Source organism: Homo sapiens, chromosome 1 (genome assembly GCF_000001405.40).
Source record: "Homo sapiens chromosome 1, GRCh38.p14 Primary Assembly".
Classification (NCBI taxonomy): Eukaryota; Metazoa; Chordata; class Mammalia; order Primates; family Hominidae; genus Homo; species Homo sapiens.
The window spans coordinates 189,475,448-189,498,873 of record NC_000001.11 but is presented as its reverse complement, the minus strand read 5'-3'; the positions used below and the strand labels follow the sequence as shown (position 1 = coordinate 189,498,873).

Here is a 23,426-nt window from a genome sequence, read left to right as displayed (position 1 = left end):
AATGCTACTTGTTGTGAAGGCACACTTCTTTAAAATAATATCGTCAATGTTAATGATTAAAATATTCAATATGGAAATTTCCCTGATTTTCCTAGACTAAGGATCTCTTCTTTTCTCATCATATATATTTACGTCAGTTGGTGCTAAATGTTGTGAAGTAGAATAAATTTATAAAGGAAATAGAAAATGTGGAAGTTGCAGTACACACACACACACAGATATATGAAATATACACATACACTGTGATTACATATATATACACATATGCATATACATACACTTAAATATGCACACACAAACCACATGGTTATAATTCCACATCATATCTCATATTATAGATGATAATTTCTTGATGGTTTCAAGTCACATATTTGTTTGTTTTCCTATTGTTTCTCCACTTTCTCACTCCACAAATAGATGCACATCTTGAGATTATATTACCTAATTGCAAGTACTCATTTACAATTTAAAGTATATATGGGTATTATGCCATAATAATTTCATCTTGATCACAGGGTTGAATGGTATTACCATTTTTATTATACATAACCTTGACCAGGTGGTATTAACACCAATGATGTAGATGGGATTCTTAATGAGATCTTGTGTTTTAAGAAAGCAGGAAGCTGAAGGTAGATATATGAGCTAGTATTTAAGAAGCAAATATTGGAGATCAAAGGTAAATAACAAGAAATAAGGGAAACTCAGAAGTATTCAGCGTCAAGGAAAACAGAAGGTTTATACTTTATGCAGAAGAGAGTGGTGAGGTATATGAAGCATTGATGAAAGTCAAGTAAGATGAAGTTTTGAATGTGCCTACTCAATGTAATGGCATGGAGGTCATTTTGGACTTCATTTATTTATTTATTTTGAAATGGAATCTCACCTTGTCGCCCAGGCTGGAGTGCAGTAGCGCGATCTTGGCTCACTGCAACCTGCCTCCAGTGTTTAAGCGATTATCCTGCTGCTGCCTCTCGAGTAGCTGGGATTACAGGTGCGCACTACCACGCCCAGCAGCTTTTTTTTTGTATTTTTAGTAGAGACAGGGTTTCACCATGTTGATCAGGCTGGACTCGAACTCCGGACCTCAAGTGATCCGTCTGCCTCGGCCTCTCAAAGTGCTGGGATTATAGGCATGAGCCTCTGCTCCCAGCCCATTTTGGACTTTAAATGAAGCTTTTTTAATCGATTGATGGAGTTAGATTTCTGTTTACAATGTGTTGTGTAACAAGTGGGATATAAAGAAATGAGATAATATGTGTAAACACAAGAACTTATTAGAAATTATTCTAGGGAAAAAAAGGAAGAGATAGTATCTGAAGAGGAGAATTATGTTGTTTTGTCTATAAACAAAGAAGTGAATATCTGAGTAAAAATAGATTTATAGATTTGAGGATTAAGGTGGTGACTGTTTCATTGATTTCCATTTTCTATAAGGAATAGGTGATTAGATCATATGCCAAGAGCGAAGATAGAGCTACTGGATTAAAGACTTGAGATATAGAGAAGTTATGAAATAGAAATTTCAGAAATTTGAAGCAAATGGTTACTAGGAAAAGAGAAAAACTATGGAACAGTATTGAAAGCCCAGTATAAGTCCACCCAGTTTGTGATATTCTCTGGAAGTGCTGATCATTTTGGATCAGTTTTGAAAGGACTAAACATTATTGCCTGAAACATAGGGACTACAAGGGTCATTTCTTTTGCTTATAACATCAGGCATAAAGATAGCACTTATGGTCATTTAATCCCTTATCATTGTCCCTAATGCAATTTTGCACTTGAATGATCTTGAGAGAATAGCTGTTCTTTCCACCAGAGTGTGATGCTTTCCTAATGAACACCTGTGCATGATATAATAAATGATTCATTGAATTGCCCACACCAGGAATCAAATTCTGATCTATGAGAACTATTTCACAATCAACCAACCTCTACTAAAATATGCATTGTTGCTTGCCTTGTGGAACTAAAAGAAAGCAGAAATAGAAAGAGAAACTTTTTTGTTGTGAATTAATGAGAACTAGACATGAATGTTCAATATAAGGAAAATGCATGCCATGTTATTGCTTGTCACTTCTCTGGTTGTCACGGTGATTCGAAGCAAAAGTTGGTATATAATTAAGCAAAGATATTTGTACATATTTACTTTATACATAGAAGTAGGAAAAGAAAGTAAGCATGCCAAAATGCCATAAAGGTCGCTTTAGAAAATATTGTAAACTTTTTCTCCTTAAGAAAATGGTTACTCATTTTTAATGTGTGAAGGAATCACCTTTGGATTATTTTAATAATGCAGAATTTGACTTGGTTACTTAGGAGATGGGAAAGAGGAATCTGCATTTTAAGTAATCATACTAGCTTTTTCTGATATGAGTGGTGTAGAAATTATACTTTGAAAAACAGAACATCAGAGTTATTTACTGTATTTTATAGTATGCCATACTTTATTATTTCATTCTACTTTATGATATTTTAAATAATGTAAATTATACTTTTGTGATGCAATAGGTCAGAAAATGCAGGAGTAGTCACTAATTCATTCTTATCCCACTCTAGACCTCTTTGAAGACCTTCATGGGGTAGTGTTGCTAACATAATACATAACATTTCATGCTTCTATCTATGCATACACACACAGAAAAATTATTATTTTTTAAAAAAGTAAACACACACACACACACACACACACACACACACGCATGGTTTCTATTAGAATGAAGCAAAAATCCATGGCAATATATGCAGATATGGACAGGCCACCAACAGCTATATTACTCACATGCAATAAAAATATGTGTAAAGTAATAAAAAAAAGATAAAGGAATGCATGGCTAACCAGATAGTAGCAATTTCTATAGTCCTCACTGGCCATTAAAAGAACAGTAAAGACTAATAGTGATTAATCTAAACTAAAAGATCTATAGACTGTACCTTGTTTAAGGGCAAGGAGACAGAATAATAATCGGTGGGCTATATGAATGTCTGAAAGCAAATTACTCTTTTTGGACAAAGCCCTCCACCATTGAATATCAATTGGATAGAGTATTCAAAATGATCAGGATGGTTGCAAAAGAGAAAATAAGGATACTTTCTAGATAACTTGGGAGGGGGTTAATAGTGGAGGACTATCTCAGTGACTACAAGACCATAGCTCTAACATACAATTAAAACAACAAAAGACATCTCTAGAGTCATGAAAGTAGAGAAGCTAACTTAGGAAAAGTTAGCTACCTGACTCTAAAAGTGTTGATAATGTTCATTGTCTTTTAGATAGGTAACAGAAAAAAAATCATAGTTACTTCTCATACAAGTTATTTTATGGAAATATAAAAGATCAGAAGACCACACAAAAAGGATTGGAGCAAATCAGGAAACAATGAAAATAACGCTTCTCCAAAACATAAGAGTATTGTAAAGTAATATTTTCAATGAGCAAAATAAAAGCTATGAAAAATAACGTACCAGAATTAGAAAAAAAATCAGACATTAGATGATTAGAGAAAAAAATTAAAAGTGAGGTGAATTCACTTAGCTAATAAAAAAGAAAATGATTATTTAAGAAGACAACCACCAAGAGAATAATAGGGAATAACCCCAGCCTTACAGAACTAAAAGATGACTAAGGAAAAAAATGATATAACAAGTAAAACTAACAAAAATGTAGTAAGCACTAACAATTATAGATAGAAAACACAGATAAATATTATATACACATTATATATATTATATATATATATAATATATATATATATTATATATATATATATAATATATATATATATATATATATTCATCCAGGAAATCAAATATAAATTGATATTTAACAGTGAAGGGCTTTGTCCAAAAGGAGTAATTTGATTCTAGATATTGATATAGTCTACCAATCATATGTATATTTTCAGTAAATCATATGCATATGATATATATAATACATGATCATACATACATAATCATATATATGTATGAGGGTTCCTGAATAAGAGAAACAATCACCATTAACAGAAACATAGCATTATTGTAATATATGTAAAATTATCTGAAATTTCAAAAAGTTCTTGAAACCATATAAGCTTTTAAAGGATAGACCTAGTATCTGGGAAAATTGAACTACGTAGCCAAGAGAAAAATATGTCCAGTAAAATGACTGATCTTTAAATATAAATAAATAAATAGATAAATAAATAAATAAATGGTTTGAACGTCTAGGCAAAAAGGCTACGTCACTTGTGAAAGAAAAATACCAGATCCATATCCTCATAGGTTTTTCAAGAAGAAAATATACATGATTTTGCTTTAATTGAAATAAATATATATTTATTTTTATATGCATATTTATCTATGTATTTATATTTTTTAATTTAGCCAAACTGATCTTCAATTATTAAAATTCAAAGACTACTTTTTATAAACATTCAATAACTCAGAATTTTTTTCCTATTCATCCTTTGCTAGCACCTACTCAAGAACAAACTTAAACCTCCAAAATGGCTACAGAGACATCTTCTTATGGACTGGTGGATTTTCAGAAGCCCACTAAATATGTGATGAGAAGAAAACTACACAACAAATAGTGTCAGATGATTTAACAACATTTCCATTCTGTTTTCATTACTAATGAGGACCAGATATCTTTCATCTGATTCATTCTAAACTCTACATTGGATCTCAAAGAGCAGAAAGTTAAAAGATAGTTATCCCTTTGCTTTCAAAACCATTGCAGTGTCTTTAAATTCTTTGACATTTCTAAATAAGCTTTAAAAGTTTCAGAATATTTACAGAAATACTGAAAAATAAAGAGTTCCCATATAGCTCACAATAAATTTCCCCATATTATTAACATCTTGCACTAGTATGGCATTTTCACAATTAATGAACCAATATTGACATATTATTATTAACAAAGTACAAACATGCTTAAGATTTCCTAAGGTTTTACCTAAAGTCTTTTTTCTGTACTAAGATCCCATCTTGGGAGCCAAGTTACATTTCGTCATTTTGTCTCCTTCGTTTTCATTTGGCTGTGACAGTTTATGAGATGTTTCTAGTTTTTTGGTTAAAAAAATAACATAATTAAGTGATGCTTATGAAGTACAGTATAATGGATGTAGAATAGAATTGGATAGAAAAAAGTGAGAAAACAGGTGCATCAAATATGACTCCTGTATCACCAGATAGTACAGTTATATCAAAAGCAAAGAACTAGAAAGAATCTTGTCTTTTTGTTTGATTGTTGTTTGTTATTATTATTTTGTGCTTATTTTTACATGGGTAGGAGTGCAGACAATACTTTTGAATTTATATTTTATTTGGATAAGTTGTTAAGATATATATATGAGATATGTAAATGTAAATTTGTATTACTCATTTTATTTAAACATATATAAAACTGCAGAAATATTTAGCATTTATTAGAACATTTAAAAGTTTTCAGAAATATTATAAAATGCAGAATTTTTATTGTAATTGTTACATTATTTTTTGTAAAAATCTATAAAACTTTAGAAATATATTTACTGATTTATTTAGTAAAATTTGAGACATGTACACAAAAGCCTTAATGCTCTCTTTAAAGTAAAGATACTTGAATCCAATCTTTTACAGATGTGAAAAGAGAGGCTCAGGAAATCAAAACATCTTGACTGAAGCCACTGAAAATTAGTTGGCAGTCATGAAATTGACATGGTAAGAGAAAAGCCAATATCCTGACTATGTCAAAGGCTTGTTGTCTCTATTGCTTCTCATGTAGTAGAATATCACATCACTGAGTTTATGTTCTACTTTCAGAAGTATTCAGCACCTATGTAGTCTGCTTGTGGTAATTCTTCAAGGCAAAACATAGGGTTAAAATTAAAGTTCTGATTTGTCATAAATATTTCTTTTCTCATGTAAATAAATATATAGGCAGACTCAGTAACCTTTAAATATTTGCATGTGATCTAGCTATAGTTTTATCTTTCAAATATATATGTATGTTAATGACCTTTAATATTTCAAAGGTTTTAGAATATAACAAAATTTGTCAAACATCAAAAATGATGTCATTTTAAAATTCCATTTAAATTTTTATGCTGTAATCACTGCGATCAGATTTTATGTCTCTAAAAAAATTAATGTAGCATTTGTTAATTCTCATCTGAAACATACATGTCATATTTTAAATCTAATATGTATTTTAATAGCATGTATGTGGCATATAGACATAGACGAAAGGATGTTCTCTATGTTTATTTCCACTTAGTGTTTTAAATAATGACATTATCATAAAACATGCCATGAAATGTTCTGACATTGCGAATACTCATTTTGAAATATGCTATTAAAATTTAAATTAATATGATTTAATAAGTTTGTAATTCTGCCAAAGGCTCTCTCACACATTCTCCCTAAGATATAACTGGTAGAATGTAAGTTATTTATTCTTATAGTACTTCACAAATAGTCTTTTAAATATAGTAAAAAAGTTTAATACAAATATCAATAAAACATGAAAAGTCTAATAAATAAGTAAAGTGATTGTGACTGTCTTATATTTCTTAAAATCTATATAGAAAAGAAGAAAATTTAACTCTGTTCATTTAAGGACACATTAAACAGTGGTGGTAATTATCATATTTTAGAGAAGTTAAAATCTACATTGATGCAATTATCAATGAAGGGTACTGCCTGTTGCTCTAAACTCCATAGAGATATTAAATCCAAACTGTCTTAATATTTTTAAGGATGATTTATATTATTGAGGTTATTGATTACTTATTGTGCTCCAGGCAACAAACTTTTTACACCTCTGATTATTCTATTGTATGCTTTATGGATTATAAAATTTGCCGTGGAAATGTAAATTAAGAATTAGAACTTTTGAAATAAAAGATTCAAAGTGAGAAAAGTTTATAAGGCTAATATATCCGAGTAGAGAATATAAAATAAGCACTATACTATTAGTTTTAGGTGCACTAATGCTTTCCAATACAAAAGTCTAATTTTATAAAATTTACATTTTTAGACTAGAGGGTACAAGTACAGTTCCTGTGACCCTCTTTAGCTGCCTTGGACAGTCCTTTTCTGAATTATAATATTTCTTCATTTTCATTCATTCCACTACATAAAATACAAAAACTAAAATGATAGCCATTTCCAGGTCTCTGTGTACTCATAATGCCCTTCTAAAATGTATCATTCGCTATGGTAAAATGTGTCTTTTAGGTGATGAGGTTTCCAATAAACTCGCATAATATTTATTTTCTGTGCACACCTTTACTTTGTATTCCTAATAGGCTTTTTTGGTATGAAAATCTAGCCTCATGTTATTTCACCTGTTTCTAGAAATTAGATTAGAGATTTTCATAACCCTTTAAAGTATATTGTAAAGGCTGAATAGCAAGTGAATGGGGAGCAGGAAAAAGGAAGAAGGTCCATGTGGTAATGAATATGTGTAAGAGTTGGGGGTAGTCATTACGTAATAAGTATCCTTTACCTTGAATTAACACTTTGTAGAACGACTGGCATATTGGGATGCTCAAAATTATTTATTTAATGAACAAATAATTGGGCTAACAGAACTTAAATTTCAAACGCGGCAACTTTGAAAGTTGTATCTGGAAAAATAAGCAAGGAGTTGATCTTTGAAAATGAGATACTATTTCAAAATACTTAATAAAGAGAAAAAGATACAGAGAAAAAAACATAACTAGGTGGAACACCTAAATATACAGAAAAAGACCCATATAAAAAGAAGCTGGAATGAGCAGCCTATGAAGTAAGGAGAGAATCAACCAACGATAAATCAGGGCAGATTTCAACACATTCTGGCTTTTGCCTTCAGCACTAAATATATTATTCCTTTTGTGAGCGTGTGTATTTTTTCACTCTCCATTTATTTATTTATTAGTTGACAAACAATAATTGTATCAAATTGTCCCCAAAGCTGTCCTTATGTGCTGTTTCACATTCCTTGGCTTCAGTTAACCTGGTCAAGTGTGGTTCAAAAATATTAAATAAAATATCTAGAAATAAACAATGTATACGTTTTAAATAGCATACCACTGAGTATTATGATGAAATCTGGTGCCATGCAAACAAACAAACAAACAAACAAACAAAACAAACAAAAACAAAAAAACATCCCTTTGCTCTTCATATCCATGCTGTATAGCCTATCTGCCCCTTTGTTACTTAATAGCAGACTCACTTATAGGATGGACAGATCACAAGAAGAATAAGGGTGAATACAGCAAAATAAGATATTTTGAGAAAGAGAAAGAGACTACATTCACATAACTATTATTAAAGTATATTATAATTTATTATAACTTGTTGTTTTTTCTCCTATTGTGCTTAATTTAGAAATTAAATTATTATAGGTATGTATGCAAAGGAAAAAAATGACAGTATATATAGGGTTAAGTGATATCAATATCCATGGTTTCAGGCATCCACTGAGTGTCTTGGAGTATGTCCCCCAAAGGGGTACCACTGTATTTTTAGAATACAGTGTGATGTTTTGATACATGTGTACACTACGGAATAATTAAATTTGGCAAGCTATTTTTAAGAAGATCACCAATAACCTTCACATTAGTACATGTGATGGGCCATATTCAGTTTTCACCTTAATTGTCCTGCTAAAACCATTTGATACATCGTTATTCCTTTTTTGATACATTTTTACCTAAATCCTAGTACATTATAATGATCTTACTTATCTTCCTATCTTACTGTTCACCCATTTTCAGTCTTCATTACTGTTCCTTCTCCTTATTATCTTAATTCTGGAGACCCCATGATGTCAGATTTAGGTGCTTTTGTGTTTCTTTTGGTGATGTGAAACCTTGTTGTTCTATATATCATCTATATTTTGCCCACTTTTAACTTTTTATTTACAGGCCAGACATCTCCTCTAAGAACCAGTCACATAGTCAGCTTCTCGTTTGAATTTCTAATACTTTGCTGTTCAGAATTTGGTGCAAGCATGAGCGATGTCAACATTGCTCGGAGAATATTAGAAATGCATTTTTCTGAGCCCCACTCCAGAACGCTGAAATTTAAATCTGCATTTTAAAAATATCTCAGGATAATTGTATGAATATAAAATTTGATAAGTATTCATTTCATAGCCCAAAGTTAATAAATCAATAACAAAATATTGATCATACTATGCTGGTTCAAGTTATTATCTTTGTTTCAGTTGAAGAAAATTTCTTGATTGCAATCGCCAAGGCTAAATAAGTTAAAATGGCTCATACTTCCTTTGTTTTTCTCTGACATGCCTTATTCAAGCCGTCGGAAAATCCTCACAGCTTCTCCATTAAAATATATCTAAAACCTATACCCTCACATCACCTTCACAACCTTCACTCTGTTCAGAACCCCTATAATAATCTCCCTAGGATTACCAACCTTTCAGTAGATCTTTCTTCCTGCCCTCCTACAGTTTTCTAAACACATGAGTACGATTTCTTTAAAATATAAATCAAATCACACTATCTCTCTGTTCATATCCTGAATTCCTGTCCACACCACTCAGAGAAAACTCTGTAATCCTTACTATGGTTTTCTGTCTGATTATACCTGGATCTAAACACAAACATTTTCTGCAATTCATGAGGCCACTTCACTTGAGCAAAACCACCCTCCCTATTGTTTGTTATTTTACCTCTAGACATTTTGTTCCCATGGGATCTTAGTAATCCCTCTTGCCATTGCCTGGAAACCTGTACCTCCTCACAGCCACTTAGCAAACTCTCTCACTTCTTTTAATCTCTTGTTCAAATGTCTTTTGCTTCATGACAAGCCTGCATATTTATACTTTTCTTAATTTAGCAGGTCTAATGCATATTGGTGTCTCCTCTTCCCAGATGCCAGCTCTGTTAGGGCAAAGACTACTATCTACTTGCTTTATGAATCTATCCAAAGTGCATATTAACAGTAGCAAGGACATAAGGTGCTCTTAATATTTATTAAAGGAGTTAATGGTTTTCAAAAAGTAGTCATTAACCAAATGTGGATGTGATTACAGAAATTTTAATAAATTGATAGAGTGTAGCTTTCTGAAATGTAAATCAGAAGAAAAGTATGCACTATTGACAACTTATTCAAGACACTTACCTAGCATAATAGGTATTTGTTCTTTGCCCCACACATCCATAATTTATTATTTAATCAGTAGTCCAATGCTTTTTCTTTGTGAAATATACCTCTCCTACAATCTCACCAATATTTATCTCACACCAGCCTTAAAAGTCATCTCAAGCTAGTAACTAGTATGTATTTCCCACACCCATAGCCAGGTGACTCCTTCAGGGGTTGGCAAGTAACAAAATAGAGTCCATGCCTGTGACTGACCTATATTTGTGTTGGGAACAGGCCCCCCAAAACCTGGCCATAAACTGGCCCCAAAACTGGCCATAAACAAAATCTCTGCAGCACTGTGACATGTTCATGATGGCCATGACGCCCACGCTGGAAGGTTGTGGGTTTACCAGAATGAGGGCAAGGAACACCTGGCCCACTCCAGGGCGGAAAACTGCTTAAAGGTGTTCTTAAACCGCAAACAATAGCATGAGCCATCTATGCCTTAAAGACATGCTCCTGCTGCAGATAACTAGCCAGTCCCACCCCTTTATTTCGGCCCATCCCTTTATTTCCCATAAGGAATACTTTTAGTTAATCTATAATCCATAGAAACAATGCTTATCACTGGCTTGCTATCAATAAATACGTGGGTAAATCTCTGTTTGTGGCTCTCAGTTCTGAAGGCTGTGAGACCCCTGATTTCCCACTCCACACCTCTATATTTCTGTGTGTGTGTCTTTAATTCCTCTAGCACCGCTGGGTTAGGGTCTCACGGACCTAGCTGGTCTCAGCAGTTTGAATTCCAAAGATGGAAATGTGTCTTGTGTTTCCCAAGTTATAGTGTTTAAAAACATGAAATCTTTAGCTCTTATGTCTATTATTTCACTATGTAGGAAGCAGCCTTGTGGAAAGACTGAAACATGGGCATAGTCAGTCTATAGTGTCAGACAAAATGCAGCTGGTCACTTCCATTGAGCTTTCCTATCAAGCCAATCCAGAAGTAGGACTTACATTTGATTTTAAGTTGCATGAGATAGATATTTCATTTTCTGTTTAAAACAGTATAAGACATAACTTGCAAAAGAAAGTCTTAATTTCAATACAGATATGATAGGGAGAATAGGCATTCTGAGATGCTAGAAGGGGTGTATATTCTGAGGTCTTTTAGTTTATTTCATTAATTTTTAAGGTGAGATATAGTTCAGATTCTTTAGGCATAACTGAAAATGAGAGACTAGAAAGGAAAAGGTTAAGCATATCAAATATGTATGGGATTTTTGACAAAATTGAGTACTCAGGGGAGTAATAAGAGATGGATGTGACATCAGGCTTGGTGTTAGATGGGGGAGTAATAACATTTCCTAAAGTACTGGGAACAAAGCTGGATGGATTAAAAAAAAATGAGTGGGATTTATTTGTCCTGATAGTGACGTTAGAGTTTAGGAACTATTACCATTTACATTATGTAGTAAAATTTGGAAATTATTCAATGTTTTTTATTAAGGGAAGAATCTGAATGAAAATATTCTATATACTTAAGACTTGAGAAAGACAAGCATGGGGGATAATGGTATTGGAAAGAAAACCTGTATGGAAGCAGTTGTAATCATCAAGTCATGAAAAAAGAGGGTCAAAACTCAAGAAAACATATAAGAAATGGAAATGAAGGGGTTGACAAAAGGAATGTCACTTTGACATGTGCCATTCATATCCTTTTGGGCCTTATTCATATTAGGAATATTTCAAGCTCATTGAACAGAAACTACGATATCTATTGGGTTGTGTGCTGTGCAAAACCTATTTTCTATGCTCAATAAATGTTCAACCATAATATCAATGAAGAAATACTTGACATAAGCACAAAGACTTTATGTAGGAGGAAATCATTTGTAGAATCATTAATTAACTCTGTCTTTTGAATAATTTTCCATCTTTTTCCATTTTTCTTGTTAGGGAAATGGCATCTCCATTCATCAAATAGATATTCAATGTCAGCAAATCACCCTACTAAGAACCAGGGTGACAAGAATAAGTTCTTAAAAATAAATCTAGAAATTAAAAATATGCAATGCTTTTTACAGTTGTATGGAGTAGTAAATAATGCATCCATAAGTGTAGACAGATGTTGAATTACATAGACATTTAGAGTAGAAACAATAACACTTTTGCCTGGAGTGCTTAAAAATGACATTTTGAAATAAGCAAGATGTAAGCTAGCTAGAGCTTGAAGAGTAGAATTTAGAGAGGGAAAATTGTGGAAATAAAGCAGTTTCACATTTAAGGGTAATGGTGTGATAAAAGAATAGTGGTGAAAAATGCAATCAAAATATAATGTATAAAGCTGTGCAGTTTCAATGTTTCCAATGTAGGGAAATAATGGAAGGTAAGGCTAGGAAGACACTATTTTTTCAGCATCTGGAATTCAAGACTAAGGTACTTAACATCTTCCTTGGCACTAAGAATCCATTGAAAATTTTGAGAAGAAAGGCTAAAAGTTGTGGTCTTAGGGGAAAAAGAGATTTGTTGTTCAGTTCAGGGTGGATGGTAGAGGAGAACATTAGATGCAGTGAAACCTCAGCTATTTTAATAGTCTGGACATAAATAGGATTAATATAAACTGCAGGGTTGGTGAGAAATGAGGTAAACAAACAAATAGAGGGGATACATACAGGAAAGGAGCAGTTTATGATGGTTTACATACGGTGGATGGGGTTGAGATAGAAAAATGTAGATGGCCCTCATAAACTAGTGGTGCTCTTAACATATTATTTTAGCACAGGCCATTGATAATTGGCATTTTATTTTTGCATTTTTAGCAAATTAAAAATGAATATTGCTAACAATGACATTGCTTATTCAAAGGAAAATATCCTGTAAAGAGATCTTTTGGTTAAGACTTGAGAAAAAAACTAGAAAGACTACAACTTTCTACACCCTCCCTAGATCTATGATTTTGAAGCTTCACATCAGTTTCACATTGAAGTACATTTATTTACATAAAATTATAAAACAAATTTCACATAGAAAATGCAATAGTTGGAATACACTAAATCATCTGTATAATTTTAATGCAATAATAAAACACACTGAATCTTTTAAAAGTCATTTTATATATTAAAAAATAACCTGTTTAGATGATATCTCCATACAGTACATTCAAATGAGATAAAGGAAATTTGTATCAAATCATTTCAGAAAAGATTAATCAATTTTGATGAGTAACCTCTGAGGAGGAGGAAGCACAGTAGTAGATGTAATATAAAACACGTGGTTGGAATCAAAGTTGTCACATCTGGAAAATAAATTTAACATATGGTTTATAATCATAGAGAAAAATAAAGAAATGTGCCTTATCTAAGTGGGACTGAATGATATTAAACATTTATATATAGCCATTGTAGACCAGGCCTGAACTAATATTTTTCTGCTAAATTACAATTAAGTTATACTGGAGTCAATAGAATGTGTAACGAATTGAACAAAATAATACGATGTTATTTGGTCTCTGTGGCCAAAATCCACTAAGTACTAGACATTTCACGAAACCACTTTAGTTTAATACTTTTATTTTAAATTTTACATAAAATGACTGTATCCTAATGGAAAATCTGCTGTGTGGATCAATGTGATAATAAGACAACATTCATCATTAACATAAATTTATTAAACAAAAAATGATACTAAGTACAATATAAATGTACTTAGCTCCCTTAAGGAGCTAACCATTTAAACAACAAGATGATGTACCTTTTATACATTTATATGCATTTATTTTTATATTATTCCTAATATAATCATGACTTAAATGAATACTATGATGGTTGTATGAAAGTCACATGATTGTTTTCTTGTTGGTTGGCTTTCATTATAACAATATTAGGATTAAAACATATTGGTCATAAACCATAGGCACAGGGTCAGATTTTAGCTTCCCATCTCACCAGCTGCATGATCTTGGGACGGCTACTTGAAATATCAAACAATCTGTTTCTTTCTTTCTTTCTTTCTTTTTTGACAGTTAAGACAGGTTTATTAGAGAAAACAAACATGAGAGGGGTTTTTGGCCGAGTTAGGTTAGAGGTCCACTCTTCTACAGACTAAGAGTTTATTATTATTATTATTTTATTTTACTTTAAGTTCTGGTATACATGTGCTGAACATACAGGTTTGCTACATAAGTACACATGTGACATGGTGGTTTGCTGCACCTATGAACCCAACATCTAGGTTTTAAGCTCCACATGCATTAGGTATTTGTCCTAATGCTCTCCTCCCCTTTGCCCCCACCCCCCAACAAGCCCTGGTGTGTGATCATCCCCTCCCTGTGTCCATGTGTTCTCATTGTTCAACGCCCATTTATGAGTGAGAACATGGGGTGTTTGATTTTCTGTTCCTCTGGCAGTTTGCTGAGGATGACGGTTTCCAGTTTCATCCATGTCCCTGCAATGACATGAACTCATTCTTTTTTTATGGCTGCATATTGTTCCATGGTGTATTTGTGCCACATTTGCTTTCTCCAGTCTATCATTGATGGGCATTTGGGTTGGTTCCAAGTCTTTGCTATTGTAAATAGTGCTGCAATAAACATACGTATGCATGTGTCTTTATAGTAGAATGATTTATAATCTTTGGGTATATACCCAGTAATGAGATTGCTAAGTCAAATGGTATTTCTGGTTCTAGATCCTTGAGAAATCGCCATACTGTCTTCCACCATGGTTGAACTAATTTACACTCCCACCCAGGGTGTAAAAGCATTCCTATTTCTCCGCATCTTGGCCAACATCTGTTTTTTCCAGACTTTTTAACGATTGCCATTCTAACTGGAGTGAGATGGTATCTCACTGTGGTTTTGATTTACATTTCTCTAATGATCAGTGATGATGAGCATTATTTCATATGTTTGTTGGCCACATAAATGTCTCCTTTTGAGGAGTGTCTGTTCATATATTTTGCCCACTTTTTGATGGGGTTTTTTCTTGTAAATTTGTTTAAGTTCCTTGTAGATTCTAGATATTATACCTTTTTCAGATGGATAGATTGCAAAAATTTTCTCCAATTCTGTAGGTTGACTGTTCATTCTGATGATATTTTCCTTTGCCGAGCAGAAGCTCTTTAGTTTAATTAGATCCCATTTGTCAATTTTGGCTTTTGTTGCCATTGCTTTTGGTGTTTAGTCCTGAAGAATCTGCCCATGCCTATGTTCTGACTGATATTGCCTAGATTGTCTTCTAGGCTTTTTATAGCTTTAGGTTTTACATTTAAGTCTTTAATCCATCTTGAGTTAATTTTTGTATAAGGTGTAAGGAAGGGGTCAAGTTTCTGTTTTCTCCATATGGCTAGCCAGTTTTCCCAGCACCATTTATTAAGTAGGTAATCCTTTCCCCATTGCTTGTTTTTGTCAGGTTTGTTGAAGATCACATGGGTGAAGATGTGTGGTGTTATTTTCAAGGTATCTGTTCTATTCCATTGGTCTTTCTAACTGTTTTGGTACCAGTAACATGCTGTTTTGGTTAGTTTTGGTTACTGTAGCCATGTAGTATAGTTTGAAGTCAGGTAGTGTGATGCCTCCAGCTTTGTTCTTTTTGCTTAAGATTTTCCTGGCTATACGGGCTCTTGTTTGATTCCATATAAAATTTAAAGTTTTTTTTTTGTTTTTTTATTTTTCTAGTTCTGTGAAGAAAGTCAATGGTAGCTTGATGGGAATAGCATTGAATCTACAAATTACTTTGGGTAATATGACCATTTTCATGATATTGCTTCTTCCCATCCATGAGTAAGGAATGCTTTTCCATTTTTTTGTGTCCTCTCTTATTTCCTTGAGCAGTGGTTTGTAGTTCTCCTTGAAGAGATCTTTCACGTCCCTTGTAAGTAGTATTCTGAGGTATTTTATTTTCTTTGAAGCAATTGTGAATGGGAGTTCACTCATGATTTCGCTCTCTGTTTATCTATTATTGGTGTATAGGAATTGCTGTGATTTTTGCACATTGATTTTGTATCCTGAGACTTTGCTGAAGTTCTTTATCAGCATAAGGAGTTTTTGGGCTGAGAATATGGGGTTTTCTAAATATACAATCATGCAAACAGAGACAATTTGACTTCCTCTCTTCCTATTTGAATACCCTTTATTTCTTTCTCTTGCCTAATTGCCCTGGCCAGAACTTCCAATACTATGTTGAATAGGAGTGGTGAGAGAGGGCATCCTTGTCTTGTGCCAGTTTTCAAAGGGAATGCTTCCAATATTTCTCATAGAACTAATGATACTTTTATAAAATATTCATATGGAGGCCTGTAGTCCCAGCTACTCGGGAGGCTGAGGCAGGAGAATGGCGTGAACTGGGAGGCGGAGCTTGCAGTGAGCTGAGATTGCACCACTGCACTCCAGCCTGGGCAACACAGCAAGACTCCGTCTCAAAAAAAAAATTCATATGGAGTGATTAAAACAATATTTTGCACACAAAATGTCTTAATGAATTATATTATAATCTTCATATTGGAATTAGCAATTTTAGAAGTAAAAGAGAGTATTTCATAACTGCAAAAACTCTCCTAAAGAATAATTCTCAGGAGGACTATACCTAATATTTGTAATACTCTCTTAGGATAATACTTGCTTAGGATTTATATATATATATATATATATATATATATATATATATATATATATACACACACACACACACACACTATATATAATTGCTTAGGATATATATATAATTTACTTATTTATTATATATAGGCTGTTTTATATATAATACATAATTATGTGTTTTGATTGATTTTCATTTAAATTAATTTATCTTAAAAATCTTATTTTACACATTTTATTTTAACCAAATTAGACTATATTTCAAGTTGAATTATTATATTTAGTATTAGAGTACATTTTAATAAATTTATCCACTTTAATACATGAATATCATATATAATAGAAATCTTTTTAATTTTTAAAATTAGCATATTAAAACAGAAAAACTTAAGAAGGTAAGAAATTTTATTTAACTGCCCAAAGTGATATTTCTAGTTCAAACTCTCACTGAAATTAGAAGAGTGTTGTTTCCTTTAAGGTATTTTTTAACTATGAAGTTTATTGGAATATAATTTTCTCCTAAACCTTTGGGTTAGTTAAGCCAATAGGAGGCAGCAGCCAGGGTTTCGGGGTAGGAAGAAATAATATTTGATATAGTAAATGAACATTAAAGTAAATGTGAGTATTGGTATTAAGTTTTTAAATTGTTTTACTTTTATTTTTTAGTTTTTGTCAAGGTTTATTATTGCTTGAGCTGCTTTCTTAACAACAAAGTTTTCAGTTACACATCAGTTTCACTGGAGCACATTCTCTTCCACATGAGATGAGGCTGATTTTGATTTATGGTACTCTTTCCCATTCTTAGCGAAGGAGAAAATTAGCATAGTCAAGACGGATATTTTCTTAGCTTGAGATAGCTGTATTTTTTTTTTGCTATATTTCTGTTTCATCATTATGCAAGAAGAATCCGTAGAGTTTTGTTTTGTTTTGTTTTGTTTAAAAAGAAAAAAAAACAGAAAGAAGTCTGAGGGACAGACATTACTACAATAAAGCCTTGGAACTGTTGTATGTTATTTTAAAACCAGTCACCCCCACAATTTCATCTCAGTACTAGCAACCTGTACTGTTAAATGTGACATAGAGGCAGGGACTGTGTCTCTATAATTCTTATGATGATTAAGTGACTTAATATATGTAAGACTTTTGTAACAGCTCCAGACATCTAAGTGCTACAAAAGTGTTTCCTATCATTAATAGACTACACTCCAAAATGTTCAAATAATGTCTATTGTGCTATTTATCTGAATTTAATTCAATTAAATAATGAATTAATGCTAAAAAATTGTAGCCCATATATTTGGCAATTGAAAACACACATAAAATAATTGATGAGTGAAAGAAGGAATCATAGTAGAAATAAAACTGCAGTTAGAATTAGTAGAGCCACTAATGGAACCACTACAGGTATAAAAGTTTACAGATACAGCAATCATGCTAAAGGGGAATTTGTAGCAGTAAATGCTTGTATTAAAAAAGAAGGCTATAAAAATTAAAATAATTGAATATCAATCTTCAATACTGAAAAAATAAATCACAAGATACACCCAATGCCCATAAATATAAGTCAAGAGATTAAAATTTCTAAGCAGAAAGTAATGAAATATAAAGCAAAGATGTGAGGATCATCAAGGGCAAACACTGAGTTTTTCTAAAAGAATAGTAAAGTGGACAACTGCGATAAGATTAATGGAGAAAATATTAATTATTTCATCATATGCACTATCTTTTTCCATGAAAAAAACCTGAGAATTATAAAGATTAACTTATTCCCCAAACTCAAATAAATAAAGTAGTGGCTGAAATGAAACCTCTTTGATTGTGAAAGATATAATAAAAGATCACAACGTATATAGACATTTACAAATAATGGACTAATTCAAAATATTACATTGAGCTGAGTGTTAGTCTCAAAGTAAATCATTTTTATAACAATATATGATACATATAAATACAGGCAGAATATCATCCAAACAGTAAAAGTGTATGGTTTATTTTGTTTTATATTAATTATGGTGCTTTTGCTGTCTTGACTATATTCTTTTTTTTTTTTTTTTTGAGATGGAGTCTCATTCTGTCGCCCAGGCTGGAGTGCAGTGGCGCTATCTCGGCTCACTGCAAGCTCCGCCTCCTGGGTTCACAACATGCTCCTGCCTCAGCCTCCCGAGTAGCTGGGACTACAGGCACCCGCCACCATGTCTAGCTAATTTTTTGTATTTTTAGTAGAGACAGGGTTTCACGGTGTTAGCCAGGATGGTCTCCATCTCCTGACCTCATGATCCGCCCACCTCGGCCTCCCAAAGTGCTGTGATTACAGGCCTGATCCACAGCACTTGGCCATCTTGACTAAATTCTTACTGTATTAGTCACATTTTCACCTTTTTCATTTTTTAAAAAATACTGTTAGTAAAAGCCTTCTCTTTCTGCCTTAGTTCTGTATGTAGCTGCATTTTATGCTCTGTTTAAAAAATGACATGGCCAATAAAAATCAGCAATTTATTGACAAAACAAACGACTACTGTGTCATTGTCGGCAGAGTTAATAAAATGTTTTATTGATGTAATTTATTTATGCCATCTGAATAAGGGCATGAGGGTAAAAATCTTTTTATGAAGCCTGCCAATACTGCAAAATTTACATCACTTGGGGGGAGATCAAACACATTCAAATTACTTTCCAAACTGGCCCCATGATTTTAATATCCTGGTAATAATTAGAATAAAATTACATAGGAAAAAATTATTAGCTAAATAGGCATGTATGTATGGCTAGGAGATGTTGAACAACGTTATGCTTTGACTCTACATTTCATGGGAACTTTCATTTATTCATTCTCTGATTACTTACTGAGCCTAAATAAACGGCATTGACCCTGTCACCGTCAAGATTGTACAGAGGCACTGAGAGAGAAAAACACACGGAAGATACTGAAGACACTAGAATGGATTGTAAAAAAATAAATAAAATGCACACACGCACACACACACACACACACATGACACAGTGAAGGAAATAAGTGAACATATTTTAATTCTGCCTCTGAATATCAGACACTGCACTTAATAGGCTTATTCAAAGTTGAGAAGTAGTGTAACAAATAAGCCAGGGGAAGATTTTATTTTTATATAAGGTGTGATTCTGAATTTTATTTTACTAGCAATTTTAAAGATTATAATCTTAAACATTTATATTTATATTTTATGATGAGAGAGTTAGTTCCATACAAGGCCATAAATAAACACTTCTAAAGCCTTTCTGCTGGAGTATTCATAAATGGCTAAGGAGAGTAATTATATATGTCTTCATTCTCTATAATGAGTCTAGAACAGCCCTGAGACTAAAAAAAAAATTGAATGTACTTTATCTTAAATATCTATGAAATGTTTGTTTTATATACAAGACTGTTTGGAAATAAGAAACTATCATTTCAGCATGGTTATCATATCCTAACATTTTATTACATATTTTCTTCATGTTTTTTGAGTAAATATCTGAATACAGAATGACCCAATATGTTTATTTTTCAGCCCAGTCTTCCACCAGAATTCCACTTTACTAATGGATGAATATAGAAATAATCATTTGAGAATCACAACTCTGAACCTTATTGTGTGTTCAAACCACTATTTTCAAAGTATGATAGAAACTTGATGATTTAAAATTGTGTGAAACTACTGATAAGGGAAATATTGGTTGTAGTTTCTGGAATCAAGCAATCTTCACTTAATCACTATCATTTATGTCTAATTAGGAAGCTAAAGATAGCCTTCATTTTCTCATGCTCCTCCAAGATATTGGGATACATTATTTTGTATATTTTACTCTGTGACCCATTGAAATGAATTAACTCAGATCATAAATTTAACATTGTGGAAATAGGACACATCAGGTGAATGTAATTGAACTTTACCCTTGTTTACCCTTTCTCTCAAAGCTGGAATACTTGTTAGTTTTCTCTGTGGATATGCTCCAATTTTCTGATTCCCATTATTAAATATGTTCAGGCTAAATATCTATTGCAATTTTGGTCAAGTGTTTGGCCTCATGTTTCCACCTATTTCTGCTCAAGTGTTTCCGCTCCATTTTTGGTATCTAGCCTACATTTAATTGTATACATGTGTATCAATCCTGTATACACACTTATATAAACACATTGATTGGTATGTATACTTAATTCAGCATATATGTATACATTAAATCAAGTATATATATATATATACACATATATATACACTAACTTCAGAATTTATAGTAACCACTTTTTTACAAAAATCACTTTTTCCTTTAATCATCCACTTGAGATATCATGAATATTAATTATTTCTAATCATGTTCAGCTCTATTACTATTACTTATCGCCTTGTTTAATAGCCTCCATGTACACCTTTATCAAAATCATTGATAAAAAACACTGATTGAGTTTGCTAAATGCCAGTAAGATCTGTTTCTCCAGTAGGGCATTACAAGAATAATCAATAGTCTTTGCATAAACTGTGCAATTAGATCTGTATGTACCAAATTTAATAATGCTTTAGTATATATTGTTCCACTTTGTTAAAGATAATATTCTGAAAAGTTTAGATAAATTATTACATTTTCCTAAGGTGGTAGTCTGAGAATGAATACATCCAATAACCATGTTACATTGCATGTCTTATTTTTAGCAAAGCTATCCTTCCTAGTAGTGATAACATTATTTTTCTACGTACTCCCTCATTTATCATAAGCAATTAAAGAATTATTTTTTGTTTAAGTGTAGTAAGTTTTGTATTATAATTTACAAAATCTAACATTGAAACACTCTGCATAATTTTTTCAGATTTGCATATGGCTCAGTGACATTCTGAAATTTTGACATGATGTTGAATCTAGCAAGTTTAAGTAAAATTGACAAGCGCTTCCAAGTCATTTATTACACCTATTAGGATCCGACAGCAGGCATGGTTAGAGAAATGCCAGATGTCAACACCTTTCATTTCAGAACAATAAACACAGTTTTAACAAAAGTCATAAATATAGCAGACTGTAAAGAAACTTAAGCAAACAATATATTTAAAAAAAACTGATTAGTTTCAAAAATAAATTATGTTTTGTTATTTTTTTTTCTTTCCTCAGGAACTTGCTGATTCAGAGCAGCCCCAGTGGTCTTTATGAACTTACAGTCTTCTATGAATATTTGTAGTGGCAGCTTTAACAATAATTAACATTGACTGTTAAAATATTTCACTTTGAAAGAGCACTTACTTTGGAATAGAGAAGACAGTAGTCTAATTTTCAAAGAATATGAACTTTAATTTCTTTGAGTGGATTAAATTTTCTCTAGACATTTTTTTAAATTACTGCATTCCCTATAGACAACTGTTACTTCATCTTTTCACCCCTCCACTTTTTCTTTACATTGTCTCTCTTTCAGTGTATGGTTTGAATGAGCTATTCTTTCTAGCAGGCAAAGTGGTCTGGCTGGAAGTGAAGACTGAAAAAAGATAGTTTCATTCTTCCAAAAAGATGTTACTAAAGTTAATGAAAGTTCAATTAGATATCAAGTAACTAATTTTACGTCTTTTTAATCATGGCAATCGGCAACCACAAATTGTGCTTATTGTAGTGTAATATGTAAGTCCACTTGAAGAGAATATCCTGGAGGACAGCAGCAGGATTCTATAAAGAGAGTAACTCTGGAATTCACACATAGCACATCAACCCTAATACATACATATATCTATATGTATTCATTTGCATACATAGGTACATATATTTATCATCTTGCTCTGACATGCATTATTATATTTTGAATCTAGAAACAGGCTTAGTAAAAAAAATATTTCAAAAAGACACTCTACAAAAATTAAAGCTATACAGGGAAATAAAAAGATAGTAGGTGCAATGAAGATATGAGTATTATGTTAGCTAGAAGACACAAAGGCATACTGCAGTTTGTGGTTTCACAAGAAAGACAGTTTAAAATGACCATGAGTATAAACTAATTTCATGATTGTAGAATGCTAAAACAGAGTGGAAGTGAAGGTCATTGCAGTTAAGAAAAAAATAATATATTCTGATGTTTGCTTTGTGCAATATTTAAAATCATTTTAGGAGTAGATTTGTATTAAGTCAGATTAAATAATAACACTTCTCGATTTTTCTTCCTTGCATAGTTCCATGTTAGTATGGGAGACAAGACACAAGAGACATTTTCTGTAAGAACTGTACGGCAAGTGATATGGTTTGGCTGTGTCCCCACTCAAATCTCATCTTGAACTGTAGCTCTCATAATTCCCATGTGTTGTGGGAGTGACTGGTAAGAGGTAATTGAATCATGGGGGTAGTTCTTTCCCATGCTATTCTCATGATAGTGTTTAAGTCTCATGAGATCTGATGTTTTTCTTTCTTTCTTTTGAGACTCTGTCACCCAGGCTGGAGTGCAGTGGCACGATCTCAGCTCACTGAAAGCTCTGCCTCCCGGGTTCACGCAATTCTCCTGCCTCAGCCTCCCAAGTAGAGTAGCTGGGACTACAGGTGCCCACCACCACACCAGGCTAATTTTTTGTATTTTTATTAGAAATGGGGTTTCACCATCTTAGCTAGACTGCTCTCGATCTCCTGACCCGGTGATCTGCCTGTCTTGGCCTCCCAAAGTGCTGGGATTACAGGCCTGAGTCACCTCGTCTGACTGGAGATGTGATGGTTTTAAACAGGGGGGTTCCCTGCACATGCTCTCTCCTGCCTGCTGCCATGTAAGACTTGACTTTGCTTCTCCTTTGCCTTCTGC

The 23,426-nt window shown here is 32.6% G+C and overlaps 1 long non-coding RNA gene across 1 annotated transcript in view; it reads right to left on the bottom strand.

The window, feature by feature from the left end:
* Nucleotides 1–23,426, bottom strand: part of LOC105371657 (uncharacterized) — a 453,818-nt gene that overhangs the window by 104,707 nt on the left and 325,685 nt on the right. The window lies entirely within an intron of this gene.